This window comes from Homo sapiens, chromosome 6 (genome assembly GCF_000001405.40).
Source record: "Homo sapiens chromosome 6, GRCh38.p14 Primary Assembly".
NCBI classification, from domain to species: Eukaryota; Metazoa; Chordata; class Mammalia; order Primates; family Hominidae; genus Homo; species Homo sapiens.
Genome location: NC_000006.12, coordinates 132,768,399 through 132,782,744, shown reverse-complemented (window position 1 = coordinate 132,782,744; position 14,346 = coordinate 132,768,399). Strand labels below are relative to the sequence as shown.

At 38.8% G+C, this 14,346-nt stretch overlaps 1 protein-coding gene across 3 annotated transcripts in view; it reads left to right on the top strand.

The window, feature by feature from the left end:
- The window catches only part of SLC18B1 (solute carrier family 18 member B1), a 29,268-nt gene extending 15,893 nt beyond the window's left edge, over nucleotides 1-13,375 (top strand). For 2 of the 3 annotated variants that reach the window (NM_052831.3, XM_047418165.1), the window contains exons 7-14: nucleotides 3,341-3,477; nucleotides 6,316-6,417; nucleotides 8,432-8,523; nucleotides 9,657-9,752; nucleotides 10,539-10,613; nucleotides 11,616-11,709; nucleotides 11,806-11,855; nucleotides 12,409-13,375. In NM_052831.3, the coding sequence (NP_439896.1) occupies nucleotides 3,341-3,477; nucleotides 6,316-6,417; nucleotides 8,432-8,523; nucleotides 9,657-9,752; nucleotides 10,539-10,613; nucleotides 11,616-11,709; nucleotides 11,806-11,855; nucleotides 12,409-12,475 (713 nt within the window). In that variant the 3' untranslated portion in view covers nucleotides 12,476-13,375. Of the gene's footprint in view, nucleotides 1-3,340; nucleotides 3,478-6,315; nucleotides 6,418-8,431; nucleotides 8,524-9,656; nucleotides 9,753-10,495; nucleotides 10,614-11,615; nucleotides 11,710-11,805; nucleotides 11,856-12,408 lie in introns of those variants that run through there. The other variant, XM_047418166.1, reaches the window with a different exon arrangement.

The window sequence follows — 14,346 nt, the reverse complement described above, 5'->3', positions numbered from 1 at the left end:
GCTAGAAAATCAAATAAATTTTAAAAATTACTGATATTGGCAGAATTTTTTATTTTATAAGTTCTACCCATTTCTTTACCACCTTTTAGACCCATAGACAATATGGCTTTAGCATTAGGTGGCTAAGAGTCATTCATTATATCTGCTCACCAAGTCCCCTCTCCTGTACTGCTCTAAAAAAAAAAGCTTCTAAAATAGAGTCATGGACATGTCAATTATCTTATTAAAATCTTTAAATCCAGTAAGTTCAGGAGATCTATTGTACATCATAGTGACTATAGTTAATAACAACATATTGGACACTTGAAAATTGCCAATAGTAGATTTTAAGTGTTCTCACCATAAAAAAATAAGTATGTGAGGCAAAGCATGTGTTAATTAGCTTGATTTACTTATTCTACAATGTATACACATATCAAAATATAATGTTTTATACCATAAATATAGGCAATTTTTACTTGTTATTTTTTAAATAAAAAATTCATAAATCCATGAAATGTGAATGTTATCCTGAAAGCCACTGGGAGCTATTGTTAGAATTTTTTTTTTTTTTTTTTGAAACAGAGTCTCACTCTGTCACCCCGGCTGGAGTGCAGTGGTGTGATCTTGGCTCACTGTAACCTCCGCCTCCCAGGATCAAGCAATTCTCATGCTTCAGCCTCCCGAGTAGCTGGGAGTACAGGTGCATGCCACCACACCTGAGTACTTTTTCTATTTTTAGTAGAGACAGAGTTTCACCATGTTGGCCAGTCTGGTCTCGAACTCCTGACCTAAAGTGATCCTCCCACCTTGGTTTCCCAAAGTGCTGCGATTACAGGTGTGAGCCACTGCACCTGGCCTATTGTTAGATTTAAGTAGAGGAGTCATATGATCTGGAATATCTTTCTTTCACTCTACCTAACCCTTACTCATCCTGCAAAACTTGATTTTATTACCTTTTCTGGGAGGTTTTTCTTTTTCTTTTCTTTTCTTTTCTTTTTTTTTTTTAAAGACAGAGTCTTGCTCTGTCGCCCAGGCTGGAATACAGTGGCGTGATCTTGGCTCATTGCAACCTCCGCCTCCCGGGTTCAAGCAATTCTCCTGCCTCAGCCTCCCGAGTAGGTGGGATTACAGGCCTGCGCCACCACACCTGGCTGATTTTTGTATTTTTAGTAGAGACAGCGTTTCACTATGTTGGCCAGGCTGGTCTCGAACTCCTACCCTCGTGATCCACCCATTTTGGCCCCCCAGAGTTCTGGGATTACAGATGTGAGCCACCGTGCCCGGCCCTTTTCTGGGGAGTTTTTCTAAACCTTCTCGATCACTGGACTAGATTTTGTGTAAGTAGTGCCATAGTGGTCAGTATTTTTCCTGTCCCCTCACACCTGAGGACAACCCCACCCCCCCATCTCTAACAGTAACTTCCTGTGCAGGCTTTGTCAGCCAGGGAGTCATGTCCCTTCAAGCAAATACCCCAAGTTTTCATTACTTGGTCTTCAACAGCTTAATTATACTAATTATGTTTCATTTTCATGGATGTTTTAATATATTCTCATTATGACAACTTTTCTCACCCTGGATTTTAGGAAAAGGGACTATTGTGCAATAATGATTTATTTCTTACCGTAAATACATAATACTTCTTACTTTCACAATAAATGTAACCAATTAAAATTAGAATCTTTTATAATTTATATTTTAAAAGTAACTAACATCCTTAGTATATACAATTCAAAAATCATACCAACTTGTCTCCCTGCTGGCAATACCTCACTGAGCCACACAGTGGTGTTTCTCCTCTTTCTAAGTCCAACTACATCCTGCAGTTTCTGTAGTTGAGCATCAAGGATGTGCTCAGATTTATTTCACCATTGAATACTTGGCTTATAATTAAGAAACTAACACCTACCAGGGGTGGTGGCTCATGCCTGTAATCTCAGCACTTTGGGAGGCCAAGGCAGGTGGATCACGAGGTCAGGAGTTCAAGACCAGCCTGACCAACATGGTGAAACCCCGTCTCTACTAAAAATACAAAAATTAGCTGGGTGTGGTTGCGTGTGCCTGTAATCCCAGCTACTCGGGAGGCTGAGGCAGGAGAATCGCTTGAGCCCAGGAGGTGGAGGTTGCAGTGAGCTGAGATCGCACCACTGCACTCCAAAAAAAAAACTACTGTCTCAAAAAAAAAAAAAAAAAAAAAAAACTAACACCACGGTTTAACTTTTATCTCTTATATCCTGAAAAAATCTAAGGATAACACTTAAAATAGCTGAACCACACTGCATGATGTTTATATTTGGTCATGATTCAACAAGTATTTACAGAATAATGAACTGTGCAGGATGTAGTAGGAGAAATGGGGATGAATGAGGGCCATCATGGCCATCAAATAGCTTCCACATCCATAAGTGGGAGGCTGAGGTGGGAGGATCGCTTTAGGCCAAAAATTTGAGACCAGCCTGGGCAACATAGGGAGACCCCATCTCTAAAAAATTTTTAAATTAGCTAGGTGAGGTAGTGCACACCTGTAGTCCCAGCTACTTGGGAAGCTGAGACAGGAGTATCACTTGAGCACGCAGGAGTTGGAGGCTGCAGTAAACTGTAATAACACAACTGCACTCCAGCCTGGGTAACAGAGCAAGACACTCCATCTCTTAAAAAAAAAAAAGAAAAAAAAGCTTTCATGTCTGATATGATTTTGCTGTATCCCCACCCAAATCTCACCTTGAATTATAATAGTCCCCATGTGTCAAGGGGTGGGGCCAGGTGGAGGTAATTAATTCATGGGAGTGATTTCCCCCATACTGTTCTCATGGGAGTGAATAAGTCTCACAAGATCTGATGTTTTTATAAATGGGAGTTCCCTTGCACAGGCTCTCTTGCCTGCAGCCATGTAAAATGTCCCTTTACTCTTCCTTCGTCTTCCACCATGATTGTGAGGCTTCCCCAGCCATGTGGAACTTTGAGTTTATTAAACCTCTTTCCTTTATAAATTACCCAGTCTCAGGTATGTCTTTATTAGCAGCATGAGAACAGACTAATACATGTCCAAACCTGATATTATCTCTGGCCAGGATGAGTATAATTGTTACAACCTGTAACCTAAGACCCCTTCTTCTCCTCACACTCTGATTCCAGTTGATTCTTTTTAAACTTGGGAAATTGTTTTTAATAAATTGAATGTGGCCTCTAGGTTTGAATAATTTATATGCAAGTATAGATGGTATACAATTTTAGGCAAACTCAGAGATTGAGTCATTTTGATTACCAGATAAAGATGGTGTTACCAGTTTTCCAAATAGTTAAAATTAAGAGATTTTAATTGCTTTCATTTTTTTTTTCTTTTTTCATTTTTTCCCTAAAGAGTCTGATCCAGGTGAACACTCATTCTGGAAACTGATCGCTTTACCCAAAGTTGGCCTTATAGCCTTCGTCATCAACTCACTCAGCTCGTGTTTTGGCTTCCTCGATCCTACTCTGTCTCTCTTTGTTTTGGAGAAGGTAAGTTACCTGATTGCTGAAGAGTGCTGCATTGTAGCAGGTGGATGTAACTGCTTGTTCTTGGGCCCTGCTCTGTGGAAAGACCCTTGCGTGGCTGGGAGAAGAAGGTAGAATGGGCACTACACACCGAGGTAGCGTGTCCCTCTCTACCGTCCCTGTGAACTAGGAACCTGATTCAGTAAAAATGAAGGAAGTCTTTCACTAAGTGGCCTTAACATTGGTTTCCTTCTTTCCAAGAACTTGCTCGTGTCATTGTAGGTTTAGCTTGGGCATCATCCGTGCTGCTTAACAAGGACACTTTTCCTCTATTTGTTTGAATTGCAATGAGACATTAGGGGTACACAGTAGCTCATTTGATGTGAGATGTGCTTCTTCTATAACAGATCCCCCCTGGGTCCACTTACTTTTTAAGCTGCTTCATATAATCAAATGACTATGGACTGTATTATTCTGGGATTTGAGAAAGGAACCAAGTATCCTTAGCATTAAAAAATAAAATGTTGAATTCTAAAAGTTTGATGTCATTGAAATTTGTTCTTAGATATTTTTGAAAAAATATTATTACTGACACAGTGAAGTCCATTACCAGGTGTGGTAGTTAACTATACTGGAGAATTAATATGTGTTGATAAAAGGCAAAAATGACTAACTTCAACCCATAATGACTTTGAGGCACTAGATTTAAAATAGCACAGAAACTTAAGTTTCAATATATTTTCTAATATCAACAAAGTTGCTTAATATGGTCATTTCCAATGCTTTCTGAACATTTACCTATCATAGAATGTAAAGATTAAAATTATTTTTTCTTATAATTTTACACTACCCCTTGAAATCACTGAAGACAGTTTGGGGTACTTCACAGGTAAACTTGGGGACTGTTATTTTAGTGCCTGGTCCAAGATTTAGAGAGTATTATAATATTGCCTTTAGCCAGTGAGTATCCATAAGGTACCCAATGTCAGGCTTCTGAGCCCAAGCTAAGCCATCATAACCCCTGTGACCTGCACGTATACATCCAGATGACCTGGAGCAACTGAAGAACCATAAAAGATGACATTCCACCATTGCGATTTGTTCCTGCCCCACCCCAACTGATCAATTGACCTTGTGACATTCCTCCCCTGGACAATGAGTCTTATGATATTCCCCACCCTGCACCTTGTGTCCCTCGCCCCTGCCCGCAAGAGATAACCACCTTTAACTGTAATTTTCCATTACCTACCCAAAGCCTGTAAAACTGCCCCAAGCCTATCTCACTTTGCTGACTCCTTTTTCGGACTCAGTCTGCCTGCACCCAGGTAATTAAAAAGCTTTATTGCTCACACAAAGCCTGTTTGGTGGTCTGTTTACACGGACGCGTGTGACACCCATAAGAAAAATGTTTTATGATTATACTGACACAGTCCATTTAGATCATCAACAACCTGTATTTTTGAGCTGTTTTTCTGTGCTTTTAAGAAGCTGTGTCTAAACAACAACAACAAAAATCTATAATCTCTGGGAAATCCAAGTTGTTTGTGTTTATCTTTTTTGTTTTGTTTTGTTTTGTTTGAGATGGAGCCTTGCTCTGTTGCCCAGGCTGGAGTGCAATGGCACGATCTCGGCTCACTGCAACCTCCTCCTCCCAGGTTCAAGCAATTCTCCTGCCTCAGCCTCCCGAGTAGCTGGTACTACAGGTGTGTGCCACCAGGCCAGGCTAATTTTTCTGTAGTTTTAGTAGAAATGAGGTTTCACCGTGTTAGCCAGGATGGTCTCGATCTCCTGACCTCATGATCTGCCCACCTCGGCCTCCCAAAGTGCTGGGATTACAGGCGTGAGCCACCGCACCTGGCCCGTTTGTGTATATCTTATAATAAATCTTTTTTGTTGTTTCTCAAGAAAATTTAATTTATTTTTAAGTGATGAGGAAGACAGGAGGTTTCCTCAGAGATAAATATAATCGACCCATTTGTGGCATGGGAGGTAGTATAGGCCCTACTTGTTCCTGGCTGATGATGGACTATATCAGAACTTTTTTTGCTTTTGAGACAGAGTCTCACTGTGTCACCCAGGCTAGAATATAGTGGCATGATCTTGGCTCACCGTAGCCTCTGCCTCCTAAGTTCAAGCAATTCTCCTGCCTCCACCTCGATTCTCCTGCCTCCACCTCCTGAGTAGCTGGGATTACAGCCATGCGCCACCACACCAGGCTGATTTTTGTGTTTTTTAGTAGAGATGGGGTTTCCTCATGTTGGCCAGGCTTGTCTCAAACTCCTGACCTGAAGTGATCCACCCGCCTCAACCTCCCTAAATGCTGGGATTTCAGGCATGAGCCACCACACCCGGTTTTACATCAGACCTTGACTCTCTCAGGGCTATTGGTGGTGCCTCACCACTGCTGCTCCCTTTTCAGGTGGAAGTGCTGCAGCCCATCCTATTACCCAACTCCAACCTAAGAAATCTTTAGAAATTTATTTTCCTCTTTTTCTGAATCAGAAACCCTATGGTTGGAATCCAAGAATCTCTTTTAGCAAGTTCTCCAGGTAAATTTTATGCACATTGAAGTTTGCAAAACATTAATTTACATATAAAAATGCTCTGAGTTATGGAAGCAAAATATGTTTAATGCCAAAGGCTACAAAGCAAAAAATCTACTCTTCTGACTTCTGGTTAGGTTGTCCTCCCATAGAGAGAAAAAGTAACGCATTTTCAAAGGTAAGATGAAAATTAGGAAAATGCAGAATATTATTAGTAGACTCATGGTAATAAGAGCTAAAGAAATGGTAGAGGGAAAAGAGGGATGTTTACTTAAAAATGACTTAATTATGTAACTTTAATATAGGATTTCTTTTACAGTTCAATTTACCAGCTGGATATGTGGGACTAGTATTCCTGGGTATGGCACTGTCCTATGCCATCTCTTCACCACTATTTGGTCTCCTAAGTGATAAAAGGCCAGTACGTACACTTAATTTATATTTGAGTCACTTTTGTATGTTTAGAGCAGTGGTTTTCCAACTGTTCCTTTGGAACTCTAGGATTCCACTGGTTAGACTTGATATATTCAATTGGACTGATGGAGAGGTTTCAGTGTTTTCTATCACCCTAAGGGTCAGCTATCACACTAAGCCAGTTCACTTTAAATTGCTTCACCTGGGAAAAGAGGAAGAGTCTTATGCTTAAAAAAAAATAAATTGGATTAGACTTTCCTTTTCTAATTTCTTCCCCCAACTTTGTCGTCCAGACTGGAGTGCAGTGGTGCGATCATAGCTCACTGCAGCCTTGAATTCTTGGGTTCAAGTGATCCTCCTGCATCAGCCTCCTAGGTAGCTGGGATTATAGGCATGTGCCACCACATCCAGCTCCTAGATTAAACTCTCTTATGAAAAAAGCTCACTTGATGTAAAAAAATGGATTGATCTTAATAAATAGGGCAAAGTCCTAGAGGCTACTGTGGACTTGATCAAATTGAGAGATTCTTCTTTAGGAGGAGGTAATTTAGATTTTCTGTGTGAGTGAAAGAATTGACCACATAAATATGCACTGGTTATCCCATAGCCTTTCTGATAAAAAGAAAAGCAAAACAAAACAAAACAAAAAAAACCCTTCTGTTCTCTTTCAACCAGGTTTAAACCATTCAGTCCAGATGATCAGAGTACAGAATTAGTACTGTTAGTAAAATCTTAAACTTCTGCGGTTTTAGGGCTTATATTTTGCATTTCCCTTGATTTCATTTGCATATTTATTTATCAAGAACAGAATTACTTGTGGATTACTTAGTAACCCAGATGTCAAAAAGCAAGTATCTTAAACAGTGTTTGGAGCTTGGTTTTCAGACATAATCTTACATAACTGAGCAGATATGGTACCCCTGTAATTTTTGTCCTGATTCAAGTAGTTTATAAGGGATAATTTTACTGGATACAATCTTAGTCCATTCAGGATACTATAACAAAATATCGTAAACTGAGAGGCTTTATAAACAATAGAAATTTATTTCTCACAATTGTGGAGACCGACATGTCCAAGATTAAGGCACTGGCAGATTTGATGTCTGATGAGGGCCTGTTGCCTGGCGCACAGATTGTCATCTTTCACTTTAACCTCACCATGATGGAATGGGCAAGGGAGCTCTTTGGGGCCTCTTGTATAAGGATACTAATTCTATTCATGAAGGCTGCACCTTCATTAACTAATCACCTCCCAAAGGCTCACCTCCAGATACCATCACATTGGGTGTTAAGATTTAACATATAAATTTTGGGGGGACATAAGCATTCAGTCTCTAGCAGGTAATTTTTTAATAATGTGATTTTTCTAGGTATTGTAACTATTAATACTTGGTGGGTTTTTTTTGTGGTCACTGCTTTTTTTTGAGACAGAGTCTTGCTCTGTTGCCCAGGATGGAGTACGGTGGTGTGATCTTGGCTCACTGCAACCTCCGCCTCCCAGGTTCAAGCAATTCTCCTGCCTCAGCTTCCTGAGTAGCTGGGATTACAGATGTCCACCACCCTGCCCAGCTAATTTTTGTATTTTTTTAATAGAGACAGGGTTTCACCATGTTGGCTAGTCTGGTCTCAAACTTGTGAGCTCAAGGGATCTTCCCACCTCGGCCTCTCAAAGTTTTGGGATTATAGGTGTGAGCCGCCGTGCCTGGCCGGTTACTGCTTTTTATAATGAGTTTTTTCGTTGTTATATTTGTAATAGTTCATCATGTGCAAAATCTGATCTGCAATGCACTCCCCTGCTAAGAAATCTTTGTCCTTTGTTCACTTTCTGCCTTGTTATATATCGTCATTGCTTGCGAGTTTATCATCTCCTTACTTTCTTTTAAATGTAAAGTTTTGTTTTCTTCATTGTATTTGGGTTTTTGAATATCATGATTTGTGTTTTTTACTAATGTTTTACGTTGTTTGATTATGGAGGGTCTTTGCCTCTAAGAATCATTTTGACTCTCTTTCTCCTTTACCAGCCTCTAAGGAAATGGCTTCTGGTGTTTGGCAACTTAATCACAGCCGGGTGCTACATGCTCTTAGGGCCTGTCCCAATCTTGCATATTAAAAGGTAATTTTTTTCTTCTTCTGTATGTTTGGCCAAATAACATTAGGAATTATTTCGAAAAATTTTGTTTTAACATTGGTATAGTTTAGTATTTTGAACATTAATATTTAAATAATTAACTTTAGGACTCTATTGAATTGTTAGGCTGACAATATTTTACCCTACTAGAAGCTAGCAGTGGGACAACAGAAAAAAATGCATAAAATCTGTCTCAAATGACAAAAATGCATATTCTCCTTCTGTATTTCAATTGTACATACTTGTTTATACTTTTGTTATATTTTTAAAATAGAATTTGTTGCTACTTACCTTTAGTTGATAGTTCTTAGAATATATTTTTGTTTTTTTTTTCTTTTCTTTTTCCTTGAGGCAGGGACCAAATCTATTTTTCTTTCTGTATCATCCTTAGCATGTAGTAGCTGCTTATTAGACCTTGCTTAATGTAATTTAGTTGCTAAAATAAACTGAACTTCTTAGACCTTTTCAGGTACTTCTGGGATAAAACATAGTAACCTGGAAAGGAAGGGGTTTCAGAGTCCTTCAGACCTGAGTTTACATTTTGGCTTTGCCATGTACTAATAAGCAAACCACTTAACTTCCAAGAGCCTCGGTTTTCTCATCTACAAAAAGGAGCTGATAATAGTACTTACATTACAAGGATTAAATCTGGTAACATATATTAAGTAACTGGCATAGTCTCCTCACATGGAACAAATGTGTTTCCTGACTCTTCTTTTACCTCTTTCCTTCTATGCCATCTTTAAATTAATTGAAGTTCAAAGCCGAGTGATTGAAAGAACAGTTTTAGTACTGACGTTTTCACCAATTTTGAAGGGATTTTGTCTGGTGAGAAGAAGCCAGGTTGGCTCCAGATATGTGATATGTGTAACCAAAGGACCAAAGAGATGGAGATATCAGGATGAATTCCCCCCCACCCCCCCGCCCCCAAAACTGTAAGGAGCTAAAGGACACTCTAACTGAATGAAATGGGTTAGATGGGAAAGGGAATGAGACTAGGCACATAATCGGTGAAATAACTTATCAGGGATCCTCACTTCCTTAGCATTAAGCTTTGTGTTTGTTAAAACGCTAATGTTTTTCTTTTTGTATTTGTTTTCTCCAAAACCCTTTTGCAGTCAGCTCTGGCTGCTGGTGCTGATATTAGTTGTAAGTGGCCTCTCTGCTGGAATGAGTATAATTCCAACTTTCCCGGAAATTCTCAGTTGTGCACAGTAAGTTACTTCCATTGCTTGAAGAGCTGTATTGTGAATAAGTAGTAAGTATCACAGGCTTTCTTGAATTTCTCAATTTTGCAGCATGTTGGATATTTTTGCCCCAATGTTAAATCTTCATGATTTTGTAGCATATGATATTATGATATAAATAGTAATAATACACTAATAGAAATGATAATAGTACATTAATAGCTAAAATGGGTTGTGGACAGATGTCTGGCTTGGTTTATGCCTCAGTATGTAAGTAATTTTGAAAAGCTAAAGCAAAATAGATAGGTCTCAGCATTGTTCCTCTTTCATGGAGGAGGTCCATGAGAGAGCCTAGAGTGACCAGCATCTGTCACCTGGTCATCATTCTTTTGTTTAATAGGCATGATGATGAAGAACACTAAGTACTATGGCTGTGCTGGGTCAGTTCAATAGTTCTCATGGGAATAAGGAACTATCTCTGTTTTTTAAAAGTTGCCTTTGTTCTCTTTCCATCTTCATCTCATTTTAAGAATTTCTTAATTATATATTTTTATAAGTATTTAATGCAAATGAGCCATGCTTCTTAATATCATATATATATGCAGAAAAATTATTTCTAGAAAACCATGGAGTAAATGTAACTATGAAAATTCTTTTAAATAAGATTTGCTTTTTATCTTAGAAGCAGAGTATTCTTGCTGTTGGTTTTTTTCCAGATTATCCTTGGTTTATCTTAATTGATCTATCATACAATTTTTTCTTTCACACAGGTTTTCCTTTTAATAATGGATACACTCATGTCTCTTTTTGCAGTGAAAATGGGTTTGAAGAGGGATTAAGTACATTGGGACTTGTATCAGGTCTTTTTAGTGCAATGTGGTCAATTGGGTGAGTAGTCATTTAATTTCTTTCTTTTTTTTTTTTTTTGAGATGGAGTTTCACTCTCATCACCCAGGCTGGAGTGCAATGGTGCGATCTTGGCTCACTGCAACCTCCGCCTCCCAGGTCCAAGAGATTCTTCTATCTCAGCCTCCTGAGTAGCTGAGATTACAGGTGCCCACCACCACATCTGGCTAATTTTTGTATTTTTAGTAGAGACAGGGTTTCACCGTGTTGGCCAGGCTGGTCTTGAACTCCTGACCTCAGGTGATCTGCCCGCCTTGGCCTCCCAAAGTGCTGGGATTACAGGCATGAGCCACTGTGCCCAGCCTCATTTAATTTCATTCATACTTGCAAGATGGAAAATATTAATACTATCCCTGCTTGATGTTGATGAAGAAATTGAAACACTGAGGGATCAGATGAGTTTCTCAAAGACAAACAGTTCATCTAGGGGAAAGCCAGAGTTCTAATCCATACCCTTTCACTCAACAATCAATGCCTATACCAACAGTTTAATACTTAGTCAAAATGGTTTCATATACTTTATCTTATTTGAGTGGTATTTATAAGTTCCTTTAATAGAAACATGTCTCTGATTTTTACAATTTATTCATTTATTCATTCATTTGTTTATTTTTTACCTTCTACCAGAAGGGTAACTATGCTAACAATGTAATATATTGTTTTGAATTGAGTTATATTAGTTGCAAATACTGAGAATAGAATAATATAAAGAATTTTTTAAATCTGTTTCATATTTTTTATTTTTATATAAGCCATCAACTTTTCAGAAGCAGTAATAATTTCAAAATTGTTAAAAAATTTTGAATGTCATTATCAGGTAGAATTATTTTCTTTTACTGAATGCTGTGCCCAGGAATTAGCTTTATCTTTAGTACTTATCTTCCAATGTAATGAAGACTTACAATTGAAGGATCATGTAGCTTTTCATGAAGTAATTATTTATTTTTTGCACTATTGAATACTTTTTCTTCTTTCTATTGTTAGTGCTTTTATGGGACCAACGCTGGGTGGATTTCTGTATGAGAAAATTGGTTTTGAATGGGCAGCAGCTATACAAGGTCTATGGGCTCTGATAAGTGTGAGTAATCAGTCTTTTATTTGCATTTTCCTTATATTTGTGGAAAAACTTGACTTGGAAAATTTACATTAATCAGTACTTTTAATTGTGTTTAAGGGATTAGCCATGGGCTTGTTTTATCTACTGGAGTATTCAAGGAGAAAAAGGTATGGTCAATTTTGGGGCTTTTTTTCTCTCTTTAAAAGTTAGCCAGTGCAAGTGGAAAATAAATAACATTTTACATTTATTCTTCCAGTCAGTGGATTTCTAAGCACTCTGAGGCTCATCAGTTGGTAGATACTTTTTTAATTTTTATTTTTTGAGATGGTGTCTTGCTCTGTCACCCAGACTGGCATGCAGTGGCACAATCTCAGCTCACTGCAACTTCTGCCCCCCGGGTTCAAGCGGTTTTCCTGCCTCAGCCTCCCACGTAGCTGAGATTACAGGCATGGGTCACCATGCCCAGTTAATTTTTGTATTTTTAGTAGAGACAGGGTTTCACCATGTTGGCCAGGCTGGTCTCGAACTCCTGACCTCAAGTGATCCGCCTGCCTCTGCCTCCCAAAATGCTGGGATTACAGGCGTGAGCCACCATGCCCGGGCAGTAGAAACTTTTTTAAAAAGATAGTTGGATGGAGATACAGGTACTGGTTTTTTGTTTGTTTGTTTGTTTTTAAGATGAGAAATATTGAGATTCATCTCTTCTTTCCCTCAATGTAGGTCTAAATCTCAAAACATCCTCAGCACAGAGGAGGAACGAACTACTCTCTTGCCTAATGAAACCTAGTCCGATGGATCCTGGATTGATACAAGGTTGAGAAATGAATGCTCCTGGCCTTAAACATCACCGTAGGAAGGGTTTTTAAAATTTTACGCGCAAAACTCCGTGGACCCCGTGCCAGTGTCTTGGAAGTGTCAACGTGTTTTTGGATGATCCTGTATTGGGCTGTACTTACTGTGATACTGAAAAGCTGTCCTGCTGAAGCAGCTATATTTGAAATATTAAGTATGAAAGGAGTAATTAAAAACAAGCAAAACAAAACAAGACTTAGTTTTTAAATGACCAAACTTGTCCTTAAAGATGTTGTTATTAACTCGAGTTAGTTCTTATTTCCTCTGTTTATTTTTTATTCTAAGTACACTGATTCTGTGAATGTACCTTTTTTATTAACAGGGAAAGAAATGAATTAATTTGATATGCTCTAAATACATAAAGGTGCTTCAAAATATGTAGAAACATTACTATGAAATCAGTTTTTAAAAGATATACTTTCTCTTTGTCCTGAGGTTTTTCGGTCTTGTTCAAAAGGAAGAATTCTTGCCTGCCATACAGAAACTCTCTAGCACTCCCTGACCTTAAGCTTTTCTAAAAATTCTGTTTGTGTGAAAAGTACAAGAATAACAATACTTACAACTTCCATTTTTGTAACCTACGTTCACTTATGATCTGGATTTATAAACATTACTTGGTATAACGTTTTTCATTTCCTTTAATGTCTCTGTTTTTTGGCTCTACCATCTGTTTTGTTTTTGTTTTTATCTATATCTTGGTAGATGTATTTCATCCCTAGAGCAGGTCAGCCTCCTTCCCCTAATGCGAATGCTTGTTTTGTTAGGGAAGGGCTTCCTCCAACTTCGTGTGAAATTGTGATGTTGAAGTGAATAAATGTCTATTGTGTAACTCTCATGCTTCTTGGTCTATTTTCATGGTGTAGTAGCCACATTTACAGTAATTTTTTTAAAGAAGAAATGGTTTTATCTATTCATTCAAAAATATCTTTTGAATGTCTTCTCTGAGCTGACACTATGCCAGATGCTAGGGATTTGGCTGTGATCAAGATAAACACAATCTCTGCTTTTATGTAACTTATACTGGTGGAAGAGACGAACAATAAATAAATATCAGACTCTCCAATTATCTTACAGAAATGCTAAGAAGGAAAAAAAAACATGGTGATGTGATAGAGTAGTTGGCTGGGTTTGTTTAGATATGGGTGCCTAATTTGAAAAAGTCCATGGAAGTGCGACCTTTGAGTTGAGATCTAAAGGAAGAGGATGTAACCACCATTCATTCTGACAGGGGACAGTCCGTAGTATGTGCACAAGGGCTTGACATGGTCAAAGATGAGGTTTGGTCTGCTGGCTGGAGTCTAGTAAACTGGAGGCGATGCCAGAATCTGATTCACATTTCAGAAAGTCCATTCTGTCTGCATGTGGACAGTGAGTGGGGATAGGGACGGTAAAGGGAATGGAGGGGGAGCTTTGGAAGATTTGAGAGAGACAATAATGGTTTGGACCAGGGAGCTTGTGATGGAGAGAAAAGGCTCTATCTGGGAGTGGAACCAACAGAACTTGCTGATGTGGAGGGAGGAGAGGGGAATCTAGGAGGACTCCTAGGTTTTGGCTTGAGGGTGTGGGTGGATGGTGGTGACTCTTAGTGAATTGGGGAATAGGAGCAAAACGGATCCTGAAGTGGCAAAAGTTCAAGCCACCATGGGATGTCATTGCACACCACCAAAACCAAAAATATGGAAAAGGAGGACAATACCCAGGGTAGGAGAGGATGGCTTTGGAAGACTGCCTGGCATTGAGTGTCAAGACTGGATGTACATCTGTCTTGTGATCTCTTCATTTCCCTATCCCCTCAAACCTTTCACT